The following is a 24,856-nucleotide window of genomic DNA, read 5'->3' as shown; positions in this document are numbered from 1 at the left end:
CAATAGATAAATAGATAATACATTAGATGGATAGATAGATCAATAGGTAGGTAGGTAGATAGCTACAGGGATAGGTGATAGATAATTGATACATAGGTTATAGATTCAATACATAAATACATATATAGATAGATGGATAGATTGATGGATGGATGATAGAGGATGGATATATAGTAGATGATAGATAGATAGTAGAGAGATGATAGGTAGATAGATGGCTAGCTAGCCAGACAGATAGATGATAGGTAGATAATTGATACATAGATTATAGATTCAATAGATAAATACATAGATTAGATAATACATTAGATAGATAGGTAGGTAAGTTGATAGATAGCTACTGGGATAGAAGATAGGTAGATAGATAATTGATACACAGATTATAGATTCAATAGATAAATACATATATAGATACATGGATAGATGGATGGATGCATAGATGGATGGATGATAGATACATGATGGATATATAGTAGATGATAGTAGAGAGATGATAGGTAGATAGACGGCTAGCTAGCCAAACAGTTAGATGATAAGTAGATAATTGATACATAGATTATAGATTCAATAGAGAAATACATAGATTAGATAATACATTAGATAGGTAGATAGGTAAGTTGATAGCTACAGGGATAGATGATAGGTAGATAATTGATACATACGTTATAGATTCAATAGATAAATACATATATAGATGGATAGATGGATGGATGCATAGATGGATGGATGATAGATGATGGATATATAGTAGATGATAGATAGATAGTAGAGAGATGATAGGTAGATAGACAGCTAGCTAGCCAGACAGATAGATGATAGGTAGATAGTTGATACATAGGTTATAGATTCAATAGATAAATACATAGATAGATAATACATTAGATGGATGGATAGATAGATGTATAGATAGATAGCTGGATAGAGAGATAGCTACAGGGATAGATGATAGGTAGATAGATAATTGATACATAGATTATAGATTCAATAGATAAATACATAGATTACATAATACATTAGATGGATAGATAGGTAGATAGGTAAGTCGATAGATAGCTACAGGGATAGATGATAGGTAGATATACAATTGATACATAGATTATAGATTCAATAGATAAATACATATATAGATGGATAGATGGATGGATGGATGATAGATGATGGATATATAGTAGATGATAGATGATTGATAGATAGATGATAGATGTTAGATAGATTATATATAAATAGATCAATAGGTCGATAGATGATAGATGGGTAATAGATAGACAGAAACTCCCCAGTCTGCCTAAGATATTTTCTGTTATTTTATAAGACATAACCCTCATGAGTTCTTTTGTATCTGCTGCTGCTGTTATTCTGAAAATAGTGTAAAGTTTTGGAGTTTCAGGTACAAGAGGACCCTGCAGATATCAGCCACCTGCTTTTCCCTCCCTTCCTGGGGATGTTCGGTTCTGCCTAACACGCACTCTCTGGTACATCCCTGTGGGTCTCAGAGCCGCCCCCTCCTTGTCTGCAAAGAGGGAGGTGCGGTACCCACTCCGGGGACCCCCTTCATCCTTGGGGCACTCAGCGTGTGAGTCAGCTTGGCCTTCTCCTTCACAGACAAGTGTCATTGTCACAAGAGAGCGTGGGCCATTCAGAGGACTCTCACCCTCATGAGGCTGGCATTGCGTGTCACCGCGTTGGAGCCAGAGGCAACCTCAAAACGCATGGGCCCTGCTTCCCTCTTCTCAGAAATGAGGAGAACCTCTGGTAGAGATGACTTTTGGGGGCTCGTGGGGTCGGTGCAGAGGGGGTGTCTGGGGCCGAGCTGGGACCCGGCTCTCAGGAGCCTCTTTACACTTCAGGTTGTCTGTGCCCGAGCAGATCCTGGGCTGTTGAATCATGGTAGGCAAACCACAGAACGATCTTTTGGGGTGAAACCTCAGGCTCTGTTCACTCACTGGCATCGTCAAATCACACCTGCAAAGAGCTGACAAACTATTCCCTAAGCACAGAAATCCTCATGCTTATTTGCGGCCATTCCGAGCCCTGCAGGTGGCTAGGGAGAGAGCCATAAGGTATTTCTTGTGGCGGGGGCGGGGGGCCCTCTCTGGCATTCCCAGGGCTGCCCCCAGGACCTGGAATCAAGCAGGAGAAAGAAGGACATAACCGAGAGAAGGCTTCCTCTCCGTGAGGCCGTGGAGTCCGGCCCTGGCGGAAAATAAACTTCTTAATACGATTGAGATCAACAGACAGGGCTTTTCTCTGTGATACATTTAAGCAAATTGAATGCAATTACCTCAATTGAATTCAGAGCAAGGCCTGCCCTGACCTTCCCTGAAGCGTTCTGCCCACTTGGAGAGCAGGCTGGGGCACACATGACATCATCTGGACAATTTGCACATATTTATACAATTTGTCATGATGCGGTCTGCACAGGCTAGAGGCTGCGAGGTTTGCCTCCAGCACCGCTGTGAAATCAGGCCTGTGAAAATCACGTGCTGGACATATCTCTTGTGTGTGCTATTTACTTCGAATTCAAGTGTACCTAGTCACTAGTGGGGGGAGTGGGGTGGATGTGTCTGTGTGTGTGTGTGTGTGTGTGTGTGTGGCGGGCAGAAGATGCAAATCCGTTGATACAAATCAACAAGCAATATTATGGTATAAGGGAGGGAAATAAAGCCAGCAGGTGCTATAATACATGTCAAAAAAAAATCTGTTTTATGCTTATGCCACTGTAAGACAACAGACAGCTGTGTAGAGGTGTGGCTTCAGCGACTGCCGAGGAAGGGTTATTTGTGGGTACAGCCATGGGATGTCAGAGGTGTCTCTATTCTGACCTCAGGCACTGAGGTCCTGCCCACGAATGGCGTGGTAGTGTGGGGAATATCCGAAGGAAAACAGAGAGGTGTCTGGATGATCTGTTTTGTTGCAGGAAGCAAACCAGCATGATGCAGGCAGCCTGAACTGAGAAAAGGAGGTTTCCGGATTTCCAAAGACACACTGAGTTCGCTGACATGTATCAGGGAGAAAAGCTCATTCAGAGATCTCCGCTGTATTACAAATTTTAATTTCTCCTGGCGTGGGAGTTCACAGCAGCCTTATGGAGGGAAATTCCTCCAAGCCTGCGTGTCATAAACTGAACTACAGGGTTTAGGGTCCTCAGGCTGCCCAGGGATGCTGGAGGTCCACAGGTCAACTGCAGGGAGATGGATTCCCCAAATGAGCAAGAGGGTTCTGATGCTCAGGAAATAGATTAGTAGCTCCAGGCAGGTGTGGCTTCATGACCGTAAGGAAATGGAAGCAAAGAGTTGTTGGGCATGTAGAACTTTCATTTCTTGCACATTTATTCAGAGACAGAGCATATGCATTTTTGGTAGAAAATTCAATATTGCTGTTGATCTCAAATTCAAGTGTAGCTGGGCACACATGCATACAGCTGTTAACCTTGAATTCAAGCGTACCTGGGCTGCTGTTTACTTTGAATTCAAGTGTATCTGGGCATGCATGCATACTGCTGTTCACCTCGAATTCAAGTGTAGCTGAGCACACATCTGTTCTCCTGTTTATCTCGAATTCAAGTGTTATCTGGGCATGCCTCGTGCTGCTGTTCACCTTGAAATCAAGTGTACCTGAGCACGCATCTGTTCTGCTGTTTATCTCGAATTCAAGTGTATCTGGGCATGCATCGTGCTGATGTTTACCTCGAACTCAAGTGTAGCTGGGCACACATCGTGCTGCCGTTCACCTTGAATTCAAGTGTACCTGAGCATGCATCCATACTGCTGTTTATCTCAAATTCAAGTGTACATGGGCACGCATCTTTTCTGCTGTTTATCTCGAATTCAAGTGTAGCTGGGCACGCATGCATACTGCTGTTCACCTCGAATTCAAGTGTACCTGAGCACGCATCTGTTTTGCTGTTTATCTCCAACTCAAATGTACCTGAGCATGCATCTGTTCTGCTGTTTACCTCGAATTCCACTGTACCTGGGTAGGCATGCCATACTTTTATTGGTTAACTAGAGCAATTTGTAAAGCAAACTATCATCATTTTCCCCAAGTTGTAACCCTTGGCAAATCATTTCCCCGAAGTTTCAACTTTGTTGAAATGGAAGCTAAGAAATTCCACACAATGTATATATTCCTGGTAAAGTTTGCCCAGTACCTGAGCCAACACCTAGGGAGGTAAGAGCAGACAGTGGAGGTTGGGGTACAGACAGATTTGGGTGACCCAGACCAAATCTGATCTTCTAGAACCAACAAATCCCACAGAGACAGGACAAATTGGCCTGTTTGGGGCCAGCATCCTGCGGGATCCCAGACGCTTATGTTATGTGTATTTTAACACAATTTTAAAAATTGGAAAATAAAACAAAACACCTAGAGCCATGATCTCTAAGGCCATGTGTGTTCTGCACCTATTACTTCTCACTCACTCCATTCCAGCCCCACTGGCCTTTTTCTGGCTCCTCAGACATGCCAAGCACTCCCTGCCTCAGGGCCTTTGCAGTGTCTGTTGCCCTCACGTGGAATGCTCTTCCCACAGATCTCTCTATGACTCTCTCTCTGTCACTTGCTCTGCTCTAATGTCTCTTTTTCAGTGAGGCCTTTCCTGATCACCCTACAGAAAAGCACCCAGCAATATTCTCTATTCCTTTTCCTTGCCTTGTCTTGGTAGCACTTGCTCCTTGCTGACATATAGAAAGAATATGTGTTTATGCAATGGTGAATGTGATGACCACAGATTTTTCCCCAGCCCTGTTCTAGGCAGAGACTGGGAAATGGGTCATTCCTGTCCCCTATTCCAATTCTCTCCTTCTATAATGGCTTATTTTCCTTTTTAATGTTCTAACCTAATGTCGAGCAATTTCAGTTGATTTTTTCATAAGCTGGAAGGTCCATGAAATCTCTTTCTATGGCCATTATTTTCTCAAACACTGCAGTGTCTTTTTTCAGTGTTTTCCATATATAATGATATTCCTAGGAATATCTCCTTGGCCTTCCTATCTAAGTTCACCCAATGTGGTGTTCTTCATATTTCAAGTAAATTCAATACTGCCTTCATAATTGTTGGCACCTTTAAACTTTTATTGTCCCTGATAGGTAGGTGCTCATCTTATTGGTTAAATGAATGATTTTGGCAATTTCGCTTTTTAAATTATTTTTATTTTTATTTTGAGACAGGGTCTCAGTCTGTTACCCAGGCTGGAGTGCAGTGACGTGATCTCAGCTCACTGCAGCCTCGACATCCCAGACTCAAGCAATCTTCCCACCTCAGCCTCCCAAGTAGTTGGGATTACAGACATGTGCCACAGCACTCCACTAATTTTTTTCTATTTTTGTAGAGACAGGATCTTGTTATGTTTCCCAGGCTGGTCTGTAACTCATACACTCAAGTAATCAGCCCATCTGGGTCTCCCAAAGTGCTGGGATTACAGGCTTCAGCCACAATGCCCAGCCTAAAATGTCTTTTTGATAGAGTGATTTTGAAGATTAAGCAGGCTAGTGGGTCAAGCACGTAGTACAACATTTGAAGCCCAAAGGCAGGGAGTGTGAGCCCCAGGTGGTGGTGGGGGGGATGAAAGGAGAAGCAGGAGGCAATGGGGAATGAGACACTTGAGACTGGAACTCAGGGCTCTTCAGAGAGAGAAGCTTCCAGGTCCTGGAGAAGGGGCAAGGCCCATGCGAGTCCCCTGAACGCTCAAAAGGAAGGGCCAGGTTTCCCTGACACAGAGGGCTCCGTGGTCTCCTCCCCTCCTTTTCACCTCAGGAGGGAGGGAAAGAGGGGAAGAGAAGGTCCTGCAGAGGAGGCAGGATGGCCGGTTGAGGGGGGCCTTGGGCGCTTTTTCCCAAGGGCTGCCTCTGCGGCTGCCCCAGGGGCTTCCTTGAACAAGAATTCCCTGCTCTCCCGCTGAGAGCCAGGGTGGGTCCTCTGTCCCTCACCATGAAGTTCAATGAGTATTGGAGAGTCCGCATGAGGTGAAGGGGCTTCAGCCCAACCACTGGTCCCTGCTGCACTCACTCCTCAAAAAGGACCACCAGCTGCCTGATGGTGAGCATGGAGCAGGTCTGAGTGGACCAGACTAGGGCCAAGAAACACACCAAAATTGAAACACAAAGAAATACAAAACATGAACAGACCAATAACAAATAATGAGAACAAAGCTGTAATAAAAAGTCTCCCAGAAAAGAAAAGCCCCAATATTCTATGGCTTCACTACTGAATTCTAACAAATATTTAAAGAACTAACACCAATCCTACTGAAACTATTCCACAAAATACAGATGGGGAATACTTCCAAACTCATTCTATAACACCAGAATTACCTTTATACCAAAATCAAAGACACTTTAAAAAAAGAAAACTACAATATCTCCAATTAATATTGATGCAAAAATCCTCAACAAAATGCTAGCAAACCTTTAAGCAATATATTAAAAATATCATTCTTCATGATCATGTGTGATTTATCACAAGGATGCAAGAATGGTTGCAAATCAATCCAAATGATACATCACATCACCAAAATGAAGGAAAAGATTATATAATCATTTAAATTAAGACATTTTAAAAAAGCATTTGATAAAATTCAACATCCCATCATGATTAAAAACCCTCAGAAACCTGGGTAGAGAAAGAACATTATTAACATAATGAAAGCCATATATGACATACCCACAGCTAGTATCATACTGACAAGGGAAACACTGAAATCCCCTTCTCTAAGATCTGGAACATGACCAGGATGCCCACTTTCACCACTGTTATTCTCCATAGTACTGGAAGTCCTAGCAAAAGCAATCAGACAAGAGAGAGAAATAAAGGGCATCTAAAGGGAAGAAGACAAATTATCTTTGTTTTGCAGATGATATAATCTTATATTTGTAAAAAACCTGAAGACTCCACAAAAACTACTAGAACTGATAAATTCAGTAGAGTTTCAGGATACAAATCAATATATAAAAATCAGTATCTTTTTTTTTTTTTTTTTGAGACAGAGTCTCACTTTGTCTCCCAGGCTGGAGTGCAGTGGTGCAATCTTGGCTCACTGCAAGCTCTGCCTCCTGGGTTCACACCATTCTCCTGCCTCAGCCTCCCGAGGAGCTGGGGCTACAGGCACCCACCATCACGCCTGGCTAACTTTTTTTGTATTTTTAGTAGAGACGGGGTTTCATCGTGTTAGCCAGTATGGTCTTGATCTCCTGACCTCGTGATCTGCCCACCTCACCTTCCCAAAGTCCTGGGATTACAGGCGTGAGCCACCGCGCCCGGCAGGAATCAGTAACATTTCTATATGCCAAGAGTGAACAATCTGAAAAAGAATTTAAAAAGAAATACCATTTATCATAGCCACAAATAGAACTAAATACATAGAAATCAACCAAAGAAGTAAAGGATTTCTACAACAAAAACTATAACACAATCATAAGATAAATTGAAGACACAAAAATTGAAAGATATTCCATGTTCATGGATTGATAGTGTTAGTATATTAAAATGTCTATATTACCCAAAGCAATTCACAGATTAAATGCAGGAATCACATTAACTGACTTCAAATTATATTACAAAGCTATAGTAACTGTAGCAGCCTGGTACTGGCATAAAAATAGACACATAAACCAATGGAATTGAACAGATAACCCAGAAAAAAATTTTACACATTTTCACTGAACTCATTTTCAACAAAGGTGCCAAGAACTTAAATTAGGGAAAAGACAATCTCTTCAATAAATCATGCTTGGAAACTGGATATCTACATGCAAAAGAATGAAATTATAACCCCAACTCTTGCCATATACAAAAGTCGAATCAAAACGGATTAAATACTTAAATCTAAGACCTCGAATTAAAAAACTACTGCAAGAAAACATTGGGGAAAGTCTCTCCAGGTCTTGGCAAAAATGTCTTGAGTAATACCCCACAAGCACAGGCAACCAAAGCAAATATGGACAAATGAAGTTACATCAAGTTAAAAATCTTCTGCATGTCAAAGGAAATGATCAATAAAGTGAGGAGACAACCCACAGAATAGGAGAACATATTTGCAAACTATTCACCTGACAAAAGATTAATAACTAGAACAGATAAGCAGCTCAAACTACTGTATAGGAAAAAAATCTAGTAATCTGATCTTTAAAATGGGCAAAATATTTCAATAAACATTTCTTAAAAGAAGGCATATGAATTGCAAGCAGTTATATTATCAGAAACATGCAAATCAAAACTACAATGAGATATCATCTTATCCCAGTTAAAATGAATTTTGTCCAAAAGTCAGGCAACAGCAAATGCTAGTGAGAATGTGGAGAAATGGGAAGCCTGGTACACTGTTGGTGGAAATGTAAATTAGTACAACCACTATGGAAAACAGCTTGGAGGTTCCTCATAAAACTAAACTAGAGCTTCCATATAATCCAGCAATTTCACTGCTAAGTATATACTCACAAGAAAGGAACTCAGTATGTTGAAGAGATGTCTACATTCCCATGTTTGTTGCAGCATTGTTGAAAATAGCCAAGATTTGGAAGCAACGTAAGTGTCAATCAACAGATGAATGGATAAAGAAAATGTAGTATGTATACACAGTGGAGCCAGAAAAAAAGAATGAGATTCTGTCATTTTTAACAACATGGATGAGGGTTATTATGTTAAATGAAATAAGCCAGGCACAGAAAGACAAACTTTGCATGTTCTCATTTATTTATGGGCGCTAAGGATCCCATTGAGTTGAATTCAACGGAGATAGAGAGTAGAAGGATGGTTACCAGAGGCTGAGAAGCATAGTAGGGGGGCAGTTTGGTAGGGCCATGGAGGGAAGTGAGGATGGCTAATGGGTACAAGAAATAGTTAAAAAGAATGAATAAGAGGTAGAGGTACTATTTGATTGCACAACAGGGTATTTGTGCTGATAGCACAACAGTAGTATTTGTACTGATAACACAGTTTGTACTGGTAGCACAACAGTAGTACTTGATACCACAACACTGCAATTGTCAATAATTGACAATTATTATAATCAATAATAATTTAGTTGTACCTTTTAAAATAACTGAAATCATATAATTCAATTTTTGTAATACAGAGTAAATGCTTGAGGAGATGGATACCCCATTTACCATGCTGTGATTGTTACATGTTGCATGCCTGTATCAAAGTATCTCATATACCCCATTTATACACACAACTACTGTATACCCACAAAAAATAAAAATAAATGTGATATAATAATCAGGTATGGTTTTGCTGGGGTATATATTACATTGTTGTATTTTGCCTAGTCTGTAGGATTAGGGGGAATAGCTGTGGTAAATTCCCACAGAGGCAGTTGCAAAACTCCCTACACTTCTCTCTCCCATTTGCACTTTAGTTTGTTAAAATCTGCTAAAGCTGTTTCTAATTCACTACTTTGTAGCACTCTTTGGCTTTGTTTTGGAGGACTAGTAAATCAGTTAGCTGATATTGGTTTGAAAACCCTGAATCATAGGTCTTAAGCATTATTTGGAATTCCTTGGCAAACCTAAGGTGTCTTGAGTCAGATCAGGAAATCCAAACATCAGAGCACTTAATTCTGACTTGGTGTAAGGTGTATATCTTATGTTTGAACCCACTCTTCCTGTGGGTTTTGTTTTAAAAGAAATGACTACTATTTTATCTTCTCCTGTAGCTATTTCTGGACCCTTTGTGGTTTAAGAAGGAATACAGGGAGGAGAAAGAGAAAAAAAATGAAATCATCCAGGCAAGGAAGTTTAGAAAGCAGAGGTTTAGGAGAAGAAAAAGAAGAGACAGTTTCTGGCAGCTTCCTGATTTTAGAAGCTGATTTTGCTACTTTTCTTTAATTCTGAGGTAGTTTCAAATATTTTGTTGTTACCTTTCTGGAAAGAAATAAGTTTATCATTTCTACTTTTGGATGTTTTTAGGTGCCAGCTAAAATACAACCCTCATTTATTTTCCTTGATGCAGAAACCTAACTTCTCTAATTTAGCATACGAGAAGACCAGTTTGGGAATATTTAAAGTTCTTCACTTTGGGAACCTTAGATGTTGGTCGTCCTTAGTAAAATCCTCCCTTTACATAAATGTTTGTAAGAAGAGGTGCTATAATTATCACACATAAAACCAGCTGGGGTGCCCAAAGGGGGACACTCTCCTTGCCTGTCCTCGATTTTAGAGATATGTTTTCTCATTTTTCTTTAAAAGGAGTAGTTGAACTGTGGCTTGTCATTTGGTTAGAGGATCAGAGTGTGCCGATTGTGGATGAGACTCCATGGTGTCTATCACTGAGTCATTTCTGTCCTCTTGTATCTCCCAGTTTCTTTGTCTTGGTGTTTATCACCTCCAGGGAGATGCAAATCAAAACAATACCAGACATTACCTTATCTTAAGTAGAATGGCCATAATCGAAATGACAAAAGAGAACAAGTGTTAGCAAGGATGTGGAATAAAGGGAACTCTTATAAACTGTTGGTTTGAATACAAATTAATACAGCCACTATGAAAAACAAGTATGGAAGTTTCTCAACCTAAAATGGAACTACTGTATGTTCCAGCAATTCCACCACTGGGCATATAGCCAAAAGAAATAAAATCAGTATGTTAAAGAGATAGCTACACTCCCATGTTTATTACAGCACTATTGACAATGGCCAAGATATGGAATCAATCACAGTGCCCATCGAAGAATAAATGGATAAGACAACATGGTATGTAAACATAATGAAATGCTATTTGGCCACAAATATATGGCATAATAAAATAAATGGCAGAATAAAATTCTGCCATTTAAGACAACATAGATGAACCTGAAGGACATTATGTTAAGTGAAATAAGCCAGACATAGAGAGACAAATAAGACAGGAATTTATTAAATGTGGAATCTAAACAAGCTTATCTCTTAGAAGTAGAGAGGAGAATGGTGGTTACCAGAGCCTGCGGTGGTGGAGGACAGGATGGAAAGATGTTGGTCAAAGGAAACATAATTATTATTAGATAGAAGAAATATATTTTACAAGATCTGCTATGCAGCACGGCAGCCATACTTAATTATGATATATTGCAGTCCTGAAAAATGAAAAGGTAGTTGATGTTAACTGTTTTCACCACAAAAAACAATAACTTTTAGATCATGCATTTGTTAATTAGCTAGATTTAATCATTTTATAATCTATATGTAATTCAAAACATACATAATAAACTTACACAATGTTATTTTCAATTAAAAACAAATTTTAAAATTATGCTTAAAAATTTTTTTATTCAAGCTAGAATTTGAATATAGCTAAATATCTTCAATAAATAAGAAAAATTAAAATAATTTCAAAAATTAAAACTAAGAGATTTGCTTGCCAATAGGAGCCGCATAAGAGTGTACTCAAGAAGAAAATAACATTTTCCTGTATAAAGGTAAAATTAAAATGAAGGGGTGAGAGACAGACCTTGAGAATACAAAATCATAGTGGACATTGAACTGAGGAAAGCACACAGTTCTTGGCACCAAAAAATTAAAAGATATTGAGATATTATAAAAGTACAATTCACATGTTTTATTTAAATCAGAAAGAAAATTATGTGCTTTTTGTATAATTTAATTGATTACAAAGAAATAATTTTTAGAAAATTTTATCACCAACTTGTTAAAAATAGATGGCACTTCCATTGAAACTTTTGCAGAATATTGATGATTCTTTTATCAGATCTGATTAGCACCAGAGGACTGACAGTGGCATAGGCATTGACCACAAACTTGTGGACACCATAGGTGACAGGGCCAATTACCCATAACAGCATTGTGGATGATGAGAGGATGAAGTCCACTGAGTACATCAGCACAAAGGAATTCACCAGCATCAGGATGGTCTTGGTGGCCATTTTCACTAGAGAAGTCCTTAATATAAGGCTGCTGCTGTGAAAGTGCTGGGAGTGCCTCTGATGCCTGGACAAAAGAATGACCATGTATACACTTGAGAGCAGCGTGATTCCTATGAAGAAGGCATCTCTGGATAATGACAGCATAAGAAATAGCGTCCTGATGAGGACATTCATTGGGAAAAATGTGCAATATTTGCTGATATTCAAAATTATCTGGGTCATTGGAATAACCTACAGTGTAGATTATCATGTCACTACTGAAAGACAAATTGCTAAACCAAAAAACGAATAAGCCCAGGATATCGTATTTTGTAAATTTATGTTTAAATCTAACCAACCAGGAGGTGCTGAGGCTGATGGTAATGGCCTGGAGCATGCTCAGGAGGCAGGTGGTGCAGATGGAGAGGCCCCTCATCACCTTGTGCAAATAGAAGAAAGCTTTAGGCCGGGCGCGGTGGCTCACGCCTGTAATCCCAGCACTTTGGGAGGCCGAGGTGGGTGGATCACGAGGTCAGGAGATCGAGACCATCCTGGCTAACACGGTGAAACCCCGTCTCTACTAAAAAATACAAAAAAAATTAGCCGGGCGTGGTGGCAGGCGCCTGTAGTCCCAGCCACTTGGGAGGCTGAGGCAGGAGAATGGCGTGGGGCGTGAACCCGGGAGGTGGAGCTTGCAGTGAGCTGAGATCGCGCCACTGCACTCCAGCCTGGGCAACAGAGAGAGACTCTGTCTCCAAAAAAAAAAAAAAAAAGAAAGAAAGCTTTACATCTAAAGTTATTCTGAAAATTCAGTGACTCAAACATGTCTGGAGACAAAAACTCCATTGCAGTGAAGAGCATTACTAGGTGGACAAAGGCCAAATGACAGGTGACCAGGTCATGGGTCTTAGGCCTGTGATCCTGAAAGAATGTAAAAATGTGGAAGAGAAGATGGAAGATGTTGGCTGAGATTCTAATGCTAGCTTGACAATTAAAGGTATTTTTAAAAGATAACATAAGTGAAAACTGTGTTCATCCTAATGGCATAGAAGAAACCTATTTTGTAGATCTGAAAAAAAATGACTTCATATCATCAATGTTCTTTCTTCAGTGTTTGAAATTATTACCATCATTATTATTTTTATTTTACTCACTTATTCTTGATTAACCTTGATGCTAAATTCTTGATAATGTACCTCCTGCACTCTTTTCTAAGCCAAATAATTATATACATATATATATAATTATTACTCTCTATATATAATGAATACATTTACAATCATGCCTGTATAGGGTGCACACTATCTATATTCTTAATGCCCTTTGCCCTCCATCTTTAGAAATCAATTTTTGTTATTTTGTGTTCTCTCATTTTATTTTTAACACCCAATTCAGTGACAGGCATATAAAATGAATCACATTTGCAGAGTTGAATTGAATAAAATGTATGCTAAAGTGGAAAGACTCACTAAAGCAAACAATTAAAAATATATCCAATTGAGTCTTTCTCATGATCTATCACTTTGATACGGTTTATTCTTCACTCTTCCATGGTTTTTGATGCTTATGATTCTACTGGGCCCACCATGATAATTCATAATAGTCTTCCTATTTTTCATCAGCATATCAGCAATTTTGATCCCATTTGCAACCTTATATTCTCTTTGCCATGAATTGTAATATATTATTTCCAGTATCTAAGAACTTGGATGTAAATATCTTTTTTAGGGAGTGGGGAACATTATTCTGTTTATCCAAACCCTAATTAACTGTATGTCTCAGAAATGGTCCTGGTGCTTTCCCAGTTTAGTTCACATCCCAGAGACTTATCATGTGAACTCTCTTCATCTCAGAACAAAATTTTTAACATTTGCCTCTCAGTTATCAACAAGATAAACACTGCTTTTAGTCATTTTATTTCAACCAAGAGGTTGCATTAAAATAGTCACATGTGGTTCTTTTTCCTGAGACTTTACTTGATACAGGAATGTCAGTCTCCAATGAGAAAGATAATGCCTCTCAAGTTTTCTTGGGATATCCTCAATACCATAATACCTTGTAAAATTTTGCAGAACAATTTTGCAGTTGCCATTTCATGTTATTTGGCCAGGATTCAGGTATCATTGCATCATTTTGCTGTAATCCATGGGTAAAAAAAATTTAGCTTCATGCATGAAATATAAAAAACAGTAAATTAGCACAGATTTGGTGGGGGGATGAAGGTGTGTCTGGTTATATATTCAAAGTCATTTATCATTACACTGTCCCCTAAATAAAAATATGAAAGGCAATGCAAACATCTTGACACTTAGTATTCTTGTCTAATAAACACAAGTGACTGAGGTAAAAAATATTGCTCTAAAACCACCAGATATGTTTGATTTTATAAAGGAAATATCATCTAGGTGATTAAATGGTTATTACTCTCTCTACAAAACTTTAGTAAGTGAATCCATTTATCATAAATGTCAGAATCAAACAATGAAAAGTTCCCACCAACATGCATCTGCACCATCAGCATGGTTGAGTTCTGCTGTCAAGTTGAAATCAGAAAAAAAAAAAAAAAAAAAAAAAAACAAGGGGAGGCACCAAGATGGCCAAATAGGAACAGCTCTGGTCTACAGCTTCCAGCACTATCAACACAGAAGACAGATGATTTCTGCATTTCCAACTGAAGTACCTGGAACTGGTTGGACAGTGGGTGTAGCCCACGGAGAGGGTGAGCTGAAGCAGGGTGGGGCATCACCTCATCCAGGAAGTACAAGGGGTTGGGGGATTTCCCTTTCCTAGCCAAGGGAAGCCATGACAGATGGTACCTGGAAAATTGGGACACTTCCACACTAATACTGCACTTTTCCAACAGTCTTAGCAAATGGCACACCACGAGATTATATCCCACACCTGGCTCGGAGGATCACACACCCATGGAGCCTTGCTCACTGCTAGTGCAGCGGTCTGAGATCGAACTGGGAGGCAGCAGACAGGCTGGGGGAGGGGCATCCACCATTGCTGAGGCTTGACTAGGTAAACAAAGCCACTGGGAAGCTTGAACTGGGTGGAGCCCACCACAACTCAACGAGGACTGCCTGCCTCTGTAGACTCCACCTCTAGGGGCAGGGCATAGCTGAACAAAAGGCAGCAGAAACTTTCTACAGCAGAAGTTTCTACAGCCTTAAACTTCCCTGTCTGACAGCCCTGAAGAGAACAGTGGTTCCCACAGAATGGAGTTTAAGCTCTGAGAATGGACAGACTGCCTCCTCAAGTGTGTCCCTGACCCCCAAGTAGCCTAACTGAGAGACATCTCCCAGTAGGGGTCAACTGACACCTCATACAGCCAGGTGCCCCTCTGAGACAGAGCTTCCAGAGGAAGGATCAGGCAGCAACATTTGCTGTTCTGCAATATTTGCTGTTCTGAAGCCTCTGCCAGTGATACCCAGGCAAACAGGGTCTGGAGTGGACCTCCAGCAAACTCCAACAGACTTGCAGCTGAGGAATCTGTTAGAAGGAAAACTAACAAACAAAAGCAATAGCATCAACATCAACAAAAAGGACATCCACACCAAAACCCCATCTGTAGGTCACCATCATCAAAGACCAAAGGTAGATAAAATGACAAAGATGGAGAGAAACCAGAGCAGAGAAGCTGAAAAGTCTAAAAACCACTGCACCTCTTCTCCTCCAAAGTGTCACAGCTCCTCCACAGCAATGGAACAAAGCTGGATGGAGAATGACTTTGATGAGTTGACAGAAGTAGGCTTCAGAAGGTTGGTAATAACAAACTTCTCCAAGCTAAAGGAGGATGTTCGACCCCATTGCAAGGAAGCTAAAAACCTTGAAAAAAGATTAGATGAATGGCTAACTGGAATAAACGGCGTAGAGAAGACCTTAAATGACCAAATGGAGGTGAAAACAATGGCACAAGAACTACGTGACGCATGCACAAGCCGATTTGATCAAGTGGAAGAAAGGGGATCAGTGATTGAAGGTCAAATGAATGAAATGAAGTGAGAAGAGATGTTTAGAGAAAAAAGAGTAAAAAGAAATGGACAAAGCCTCCAAGAAATATGGGGCTATGTGAAAAGACCAAATCTACTTGTGATTGCTGTACCTGAAATTGATGGGGAGAATGGAACTAAGTTGGAAAACACTCTTCAGAATATTATCCAGGAAAACTTCCACAACTTAGCAAGGCAGGCCAACATTCAAATTCGGGAAATACAGAGAACACCACAAAGATACTCTATGAGACGAGCAACCCTGAGACACAGAATTATCAGATTCACCAAGGTTGAAATGAAGGAAAAAAGGTTAAGGACAGCCAGAGGGAAAGGTCGGGTTACCCACAAAGGGAAGCCCATCAGACTAACAGCGGATCTCTCAGCAGAAACTCTACAAGCCAGAAGAGAGTGGGGGCCAATATTCAACATTCTTAATGAAAAGAATTTTCAATACAGAACTTCATATCCAGTCAAACTAAGCTTCATAAGTAAAGGAGAAAGAAAATCCTTTATAGACAAGCAAATGCTGAGAGATTTTGTCACCACCAGGCCTGCCCTACAAGAGCTCCTGAAGGAAGCAGTAAACACAGAAAGAACAACCAGTACCAGCCACTACAAAAACATGCCAAATTGAAAAGACCATCGATGCTAGGAAGAAACTGCATCAACTAGTGGGCAAAATAACCAGCTAACATCACAATGACAGGATCAAATTCACACGTAACAATATTAACCTTAAATGTAAATGGGCTAAATGTTCCAATTAAAAGACACAGACTGGCAAATTGGATAAAGAGTCAAGACCCATCAGTGTGCTGTATTCAGGAGACCCATCTGACATGCAGAGACACATATAGGTTCAAAATAAAGGAATGGAGGAAGATCTACCAAGCAAATGGAAAACAAAAAAAAAACAAAAAAAACAGGGGTTGCAATCCTAGTCTCAGGAAAAACAGACTTTAAGCCAACAAAGATCAAAAGAGACATAGAAGGCCATTACATAATGGTAAACGGATCAATTCAACAAGAAGAGCTAACTATCCTAAATATATATGCACCCAATACAGGAGCACACAGATTCACAAAGCCAATCCTTAGAGATGTACAAAGAGACTTAGACTCCCACACAATAATAATGGGTGACTTTAACACCCCATTGTCAACATTAGACAGATCAACGAGACAGAAAGTTAACAAGGATATCCACGATTTGAACTCAGCTCTGCACCAAGGGGACCTAACAGACATCTATAGAACTCTGTACCCCAAATCAACAGAATATACATTCTTCTCAGCAACCCATCTCACTTATACTTAAATTAACCACATAGTTGGAAGTAAAGCACTACTCACCAAATGTAAAAGAACAGAAATCACAACAAACTGTCTCTCAGACAACAGTGCAATCAAATTAGAACTCAGGATTCAGAAACTCACTCAAAACTGCCCAACTACATGGAAACTGAACAACCTGCTCCTGAATGACTACTGGGTACATAATGAAATGAAGGCAGAAATAAAGATGTTCTTTGAAACCAAAGAGAACAAAGACACAACATACCAGAATCTCTGGGACACATATAGAGCAGTGTGTAGAGGGAAATTTATAGCACTAAATGCCCACAAGAGAGATCAGGAAAGATCTAAAATGGATACCCTAACATCAAAATTAAAAGAACTAGAGAAAGAAGAGCAAACACATTCAAAAGCTAGCAGAAGGCAAGAAATAACTAAAATCAGAGCAGAACTGAAGGAAATAGAGACACAAAAAGCCTTCAAAAAATCAATGAATCCAGGAGCTGGTTTCTTGCAAAGATCAACAAAATAGAGAGACCACTAGCAACACTAATAAAGAAGGAAAGAGAGAAGAATCAAATAAACACAATAAAAAATGATAAAGGGGATATCACCACCGATCCCACAGAAATACAAACTACCATCAGAGAATACTATAAACACCTCTATGCAATAAACTAGAAAATCTAGAAGAAACGGATAATTCCTCGACACATACACCCTCACAAGACTAAACAAGGAAGAACTTGAATCCTTGAATAGACCAATAACAGGCTCTGAAATTGAGGCAATAATTAATAGCCTACCAACCAAAAAATGTCCAGGACCAGATGGATTCACAGCCGAATTTTACCAGAGGTACAAAGAGGAGCTGGTACCATTCCTTCTGAAACTATTCCAATCAATAGAAAAAGAGGGAATCCTCCCTAACTCATTTTATGAGGCCAGCATCATCCTGATACCAAAGCCTGACAGAGACACAACAAAAAAAGAGAAATTTAGACCAATATCCCCGATGAACATCGATGCAAAAATCCTCAATAAAATACTGGCAAACCAAATCCAGCATCACATCAAAAAGCTTATCCACCAAGATCAAGTTGGCTTCATCCCTGGGATGCAAGGCTGGTTCAGCGTATGCAAATCAACACACATAATCCAATATATATACAGAACCAATGAAAAAAACCACGTGATTATCTCAATAGATGCAGGAAAGGCTTTTGACAAAATTCAACAACGTTTCATGCTAAAAACTCTCAATAAATTAGTTATTGATGGGACGTATCTCAAAATAATAAGAGCTATCTATGACAAACCCACAGCCAATATCATACTGAATGGACAAAAACTGGAAGCATTCCCTTTGAAAACTGGCACAAGACAGGGATGCCCTCTCTCACCACTCTTATTCAACATAGTGTTGCAAGTTCTGGCCAGGGCAATCAGGCAGGAGAAAGAAATAAAGGGCATTCAATTAGGAAAAGAGGAAGTCAAATTGTCCCTGTTTGTAGATGACATGACTGTATATCTAGAAAACCCCATCGTCTCAGCCCAAAATCTCCTTAAACTGATAAGCAACTTCAGCAACGTCTCAGGATACAAAATCAATGTGCAAAAATCACAAGCATTCTTATACACCAATAACAGACAAACAGCGAGCCAAATCATGAGTGAACTCCCATTCACAATTGCTTCAAAGAAAATAAAATACCTAGGAATCCAACTTACAAGGGACGTGAAGGACCTCTTCAAGGAGAACTATGAACTACTGCTCAATGAAATAAAAGAGGATACAAACAAATGGAAGAACATTCCATGCTCATGGGTAGGAAGAATCAATATCGTGAAAATGGCCATACTGCCCAAGGTAATTTATAGATTCAATGCCATCCCCATCAAGCTACCAATGACTTTCTTCACAGAATTGGAAAAAACTACTTTAAAGTTCAAATGGAACCAAAGAAAAGCCTGCGTTGCCAAGTCAATCTTAAGCCAAAAGAACAAAGATGGAAGCATTACGCTACCTGACTTCAAACTATATTACAAGGCTACAGTAACCAAAACAGCATGATACTGGTACCAAAACAGAGATATAATCCAATGGAACAGAACAGAGCCCTCAGAATTAATGCCGCATATCTACAACCATCTGATCTTTGACAAACCTGACAAAAACAAGCAATGGAGAAAGGATTCCCTATTTAATAAATGGTGCTGGGAAAACTGGCTAGCCATATGTAGAAAGCTGAAACTGGATCCCTTCCTTACACCTTATACAAAAATTAATTCAAGATGGATTAAAGACTTACATGTTAGACCTAAAACCATAAAAACCCTAGAAGAAAACCTAGGCAATACCATTCAGGACCTAGGCGTGGGCAAGGACTTCATGTCTAAAACACCAAAAGGAATGGCAACAAAAGCCAAAATTGACAAATGGGATCTAATTAAACTAAAGAACTTCTGCACAGCAAAAGAAACCACCATCAGAGTGAACAAGCAACCTACAGAATGGGAGAAAATTTTTGCAACCTACTCATCTGACAAAAGGCTAATATCCAGAATCTACAATGAACTCAAACAAATTTACAAGAAAAAACAAACAACCCCATCAACAAGTGGGCGAAGGACATGAACAGACACTTCTCAAAAGAAGACATTTATGCAGCCAAAAAACACATGAAAAAATGCTCATCATCACTGGCCATCAGAGAAATGCAAATCAAAACCACAATGAGACACCATCTCACACCAGTTAGAATGGTGATCATTAAAAAGTCAGGAAACAACAGGTGCTGGAGAGGATGTGGAGAAATGGGAACACTTTTACACTGTTGGTGGGACTGTAAACTAGTTCAACCACTGTGGAAGTCAGTATGGCCATTCCTCAGGGATCTAGAACTAGAAATACCATTTGACCCAGCCATCCCATTACTGGATATATACCCAAAGGATTATAAATCATGCTGCTATAAAGACACATGCACACGTATGTTAATTGTGGCACTATTCACAATAGCAAAGACTTGGAACCAACCCAAATGTCCAACAATGATAGACTGGATGAAGGAAATGTGGCACATATACACCATGGAATACTATGCAGCCATAAAAAATGATGAGTTCATGTCCTTTATAGGGACATGGATGAAGCTGGAAACCATCATTCTCAGCAAACTATCGTTAAGGACAAAAAACCAAACACCACATGTTCTCACTCATAGGTGGAAATTGAACAATGAGAACACATGGACACAGGAAGGGGAACATCACACACCGGGGACTGTTGTGGGGTGGGGGGAGGGGGGAGGGATAGCATTAGGAGATATACCTAATGCTAAATGACAAGTTAATGGGTGCAACACACCAACATGCCACAGGTATACATATGTAACAAACCTGCACGTTGTGCACATGTACCCTAAAACTTAAAGTATAATAATAATACATTTTAAAAAAGAGAATTTCTTTGTTAGTTTTCATCACAATGATTGATCTGTCTAAAGCTGTCAGTGGGATGTTCAAATCCAGCACTATTTTTTTTAAATTATACTTTAAATTTTAGGGTACATATGCACAACGTGCAGGTTAGTTACATATGTATACACGTGCCATGTTTGTGTGCTGCACCCAGTAACTCGCCCCCACTATTATTGTGTGGCTGTCTAAGTCTTTTTGCAGGTTTAGAAGTATTTGTTTTATGAATCAGAGTGCCCTAATGTTGGATGCCTATATTTTCAGGATTTTTATGTCTTCTTGTTGAACTAAATGCTTCATCATTATGTAATGCCCTTTATTTTTTTTTTACTGTTCTTGGTTTAAAGTCTGTTTTATATGACATAGCAATAGCAACCTCTGGTCTTTTTGTTTTTCATTTGTATGAGAGATCTTTCTCCAACCTTTTCCTTTCATCCCATGGATGGCATTACATATTAGATAGGTCTCTTGAAGACAGTATATGGTTGAGTCTTCCAACTTACCACCTGTCCCTCTTAAGTGGGGTGTTTGGACCATTTACATTCAAGGTTAATATCGATATGTGAGATTTGTATCTTGTCATTGTTTTGTTAGCTGGTTGTTTTGTAGATTCAACTGTGTAGTTGCTTTACATGGTCTTTGGGCTATGTATTTAAGTGTGTTTTATGTTAGCAGGTTTTATTTTTCATTTTCCTAAAGAACCTCTTGTAAGGCTAGTGTAATGGTAACAAATTCTCTTAGCATTTGCTTGCCGGGAAAGGATTTTATTTCTTCTTTGTTTATGAAGCTTAGTTTGGCAGGATATGAAATTATTGGTTGGAATTTATTTTCTTTAAGGATGCTGAAAATAGGCTCCTAAGATTTTAAGGATTGTAAGGTTTCTGCTGATAGGTCTACTGTTAGCCTAATAGAGTTCCCTTCGAAAGTGACCTGACCCTTTCCTCTAACTCCGTTAAGGCTTTTATTTTCATGTTGACCTTGGAGAATCTGATAACTGTGTCTTGGTGATTGTTGTCCTGTATAGTACTTCACAAAGGTACTCTAAATTTCTTGAATTGGCATGTTGGCCACTCTAATGTGATTGAGGATATTTTTGTGTGGATTATATTCCCAACAACTTTTCCAATTTTTTTTTTTAGATGGAGTCTCTCTCTGTCCCACAGGGTGGAGTTCAAAGGCACAATCTTGGCTCACTGCAACCTGCACCTCCCAGGTTCAAGCAATTATGCTGCCTCAGCCTCCCAAGTAGTTGGGACTACAGGCATGCACCACCACACCTGGCTAATTACGTATTTTTAGTAGAGACTGGGTTTCTACATGTTGGTCAGGCTGGTCTCGAACTCCCAACCTCAGGTGATCAGCCTGCCTCAGCCTCCCAAAGTGCTGGGGTTAGAGGCATGAGCCACCACGCCCAGCCTGTTTTAACTCTTTGATTATCTCAATCTTCCAATTCCCCCCAACCACCAGTGAATTATTTCTGCTAATTTTTTTTTTTTGTTTTTGAAAAGAGAATGATGGAAACCCACCCTGTTCCAGTGGGAGAGTACAGGGATTCCCTGGAAAGACTCTGGCTTGGAGCCCTCAGACCAGAGTTTAGGTCCAGGGGTCCACTTGGTGACTCAGGAGAAACCCTGGACCCCACCTCAAGGAATCTTGGATCCCCCGGTGGGGGTCTCAGAAGCAGGAGGCTGCTGGGCCACGGCAGGGACAAGGCTTTCTCTGGCACCCCCATGCAAGGTTCCTCCATAGAAAGAAATCATGTTGCCCGTTCCGCAGCAGGCATGCCATCCCAGGCCCCTGAGACCCCCAGGGGACATCCCCGCTCTGCCAACCGTGTGAATACACTCCACCTCCCGGCCTCTGCCATGTCACAGATGACTTGAGGCTTCAGATGAGTGACTCCCCAGAGTCACATGGGCCTATGCTTGGGTCCCAGCCTCTTCTATGACCCTTGAGGTGGTTCTCAGCATAGGAGGCTGATTTCTAGGCCTCTATGTGCTGTTCTGTGAATGGGACAGGTAACAGACCTCTATGGCAGGCATGAAATGCCAAGCTCCCACCACAAGGCCTGGCAACAAACTCTCAGGAAATTCAGGTCATTCTCTGGGAGTGGCCACAGATGCTTCTCAGAACCCCAATCCCTGGCACTGCTCCAGCCCATGCTGGACCCTTCATCATCCAGGTGTCCCAGGCCCACAAGTATCTGACATCTCAGGTGGCACTTGTGGCCCACTGTGTGACCCTAAGCATACCTCCATGTTCTCTGGGCTGAGTTTCTGAGCCGCCACAGCTCTGCAGAGCCCAGGCTGTGGGCTCCAGCCCCTGACCTCCAGCTTGACTTACTAAATGTAATCTCCAGGGCTAATTTTAATCCTGGGCAGGAATTGGACACATTCCCATGGCTAGGATGAGTCCCTGGAGGCTGGAGGTGACACCAACCCACAGGACCCAGTGCCAAGATAATCCCCCAAATGACCCCTATGCATGTGGTCTCATGAGAGCAGGGACTGGGGCTGATCTTGGGCCTGAGTCTCTTGAGCATAGAAGGCTCAACTAAGCCCTTTCTCAATCTGTCTCAATTTTAGTTATAGGGACACTATGGCTAGTGCAGAGGTCACGTGACAGGGAAACCCCGAGAGACAGGAAGTTGGGGGCCTTTCTGGACTGATGTCCTAGAGCTGAGACAGGAAGTGAATTCCATGCAGAAGAAACAGCAGGTACAAGGATCCCAAGGGGGAGAGAAACAGCAGTGAGGTTGGAGTGGGTGGGGAGGGCAAGAGGCCACAGAGGCTGGGCCACACTGGGCCTTCTGAGCTGCAGGAGGCTCTGGGTTTTAGTCTAAGAGCAAAGACGAGCTATGAGAGGGTTTTGAGGAGAGAAGGGATGGGGCTGATTTATCATTTTAACATGCAGCTCATGGCTACCATGGAAAGCAGGACTATCAGGGCTGGGGTGGAGATGGCAGGAGGCTGGAGATGAGGTCAGGGCTGTGTCCATCTGAGCAGAGCCTGGGGCGGTACCCTCTCTGTGCTGGTCTGTACCTCACACTGTAAGTCACTGGATCCCACGGCTTATTTGGCCCTCCAGAACATCAGGAGGTCCCCCACCAACTCTGGTGCGAGGTGACAGGTGCAGATGAGTTGATGCAGGGCTTAACTCTCCTGACCCCCCATGACACCGGAACTCTCCTGATCCCATCACCGAAGAACCAAGCTGTCCCCCACTCTGCCCCTGAGAGATCAAGCTCTAATCATGGCCTCCCTTGCTCACACATTCTCCATGGTTCCACATTGGCCTTGTGAGAAAATTTCTGCATCCAGCCTGACATTCAAACACCTTGCCCTAATCAGCTCCTGCCTACTTCTCTCTATCTTTGACAAATATTTCTGTCTAGAAGGTCCTTTTTTCCCTTCTTCACCTAGCCAACTCCTATTCACACTTCAGAACTCAGCTCAGGTCAGATGAGGTGGTTCATGCCTGCAATTCCAGCACTCTGAGAGGCCAAGACAGGAGGATTGCTTGAACCCAGGAGTTTGAGACCAGCCTGAACAACCTGATGTAACCCCATCTCTACAAAAAATACAAAAATTAGCTGTGTGTGGTGGCATGTGCCTGTAGTCCCACCCTGAAGTAGGAGGATCAATTGAGCATGGAAGGTCAAGGCTGCAGTGAGCAGTGATTGTGCCACTGCATTTCAGACTGAGCTACAGAGAAAAAAAAACTCAGCTCAAGAAAAAGCATTCCTCCAAGAAGCCCTCCCTGTTGTTCCTCTGGAATCCCACAGTCCCCATCCTTCCCCTGTAGTTCTGACCCCATGGGGCTGGCAGTAGATACATCCAACTTTGTCTCCCCTAGACTAGACAGCCCTCTAGATCAGGCCTAGGAGTGGACAGTAAAATTTAGAGAGTGCAACAGGTGAAGAGAGACGTGACTGACTCCCTCCTCTTTAGCTTCCCTTGACAACTTCCTCTCAGACTGCCCCAGCTGATATCCTGCCCAAAAACACACATGCTTGCAAATCCAGCCACTAACCATTGACCTGTCTTGGACTCAAGTGTGAAGAGTCAGCCAAGAATGCAGACCTGGAAGCCTAGGGTGTATGTGTGTGTATTTGTAGTCAAGTGAAAATCCCACCCAAGCTCCAGACAGACCCTGGTGGCCCATTCTGCAGATGTTGGTGAGGTTGGTATTTCTGTGGAGGTGTCAGCAAAGGTTGAATGTGCCAGGCATGAGGCAAAGGCCAAGGTTT

The 24,856-nt window shown here is 41.1% G+C and overlaps 1 pseudogene, besides 4 other annotated features; it reads right to left on the bottom strand.

Moving 5' to 3' along the window:
• Positions 1,672–2,172: an enhancer, noted in NCBI's record as "H3K4me1 hESC enhancer chr21:11143879-11144379 (GRCh37/hg19 assembly coordinates)". NCBI's record gives its function as "activates a minimal SCP1, AML or CMV promoter by ChIP-STARR-seq in naive H9 embryonic stem cells {active_cell/tissue: H9 hESC(naive)}" and the evidence as "EXISTENCE:reporter gene assay evidence [ECO:0000049][PMID:30033119]".
• Positions 2,982–3,276: a silencer, noted in NCBI's record as "tiled region #1951; K562 Repressive non-DNase unmatched - State 25:Art". NCBI's record gives its function as "represses a minimal TATA promoter and a strong SV40 promoter by Sharpr-MPRA in K562 cells {active_cell/tissue: K562}" and the evidence as "EXISTENCE:reporter gene assay evidence [ECO:0000049][PMID:27701403]".
• Positions 7,144–7,338: a silencer, noted in NCBI's record as "fragment chr21:11149351-11149545 (GRCh37/hg19 assembly coordinates)". NCBI's record gives its function as "represses an EF-1alpha promoter that drives an FKBP-Casp9 reporter gene in an ReSE screen in K562 erythroleukemia cells {active_cell/tissue: K562}" and the evidence as "EXISTENCE:reporter gene assay evidence [ECO:0000049][PMID:32094911]".
• On the bottom strand, positions 10,870–12,597 carry VN1R7P (vomeronasal 1 receptor 7 pseudogene; annotated as a pseudogene).
• Positions 22,301–22,583: a silencer, noted in NCBI's record as "fragment chr21:11164508-11164790 (GRCh37/hg19 assembly coordinates)". NCBI's record gives its function as "represses an EF-1alpha promoter that drives an FKBP-Casp9 reporter gene in an ReSE screen in K562 erythroleukemia cells {active_cell/tissue: K562}" and the evidence as "EXISTENCE:reporter gene assay evidence [ECO:0000049][PMID:32094911]".

This window comes from Homo sapiens, chromosome 21, assembly GCF_000001405.40.
Source record: "Homo sapiens chromosome 21, GRCh38.p14 Primary Assembly".
NCBI lineage: Eukaryota > Metazoa > Chordata > Mammalia > Primates > Hominidae > Homo > Homo sapiens.
This window is presented reverse-complemented; position numbering and strand designations above follow the sequence as displayed.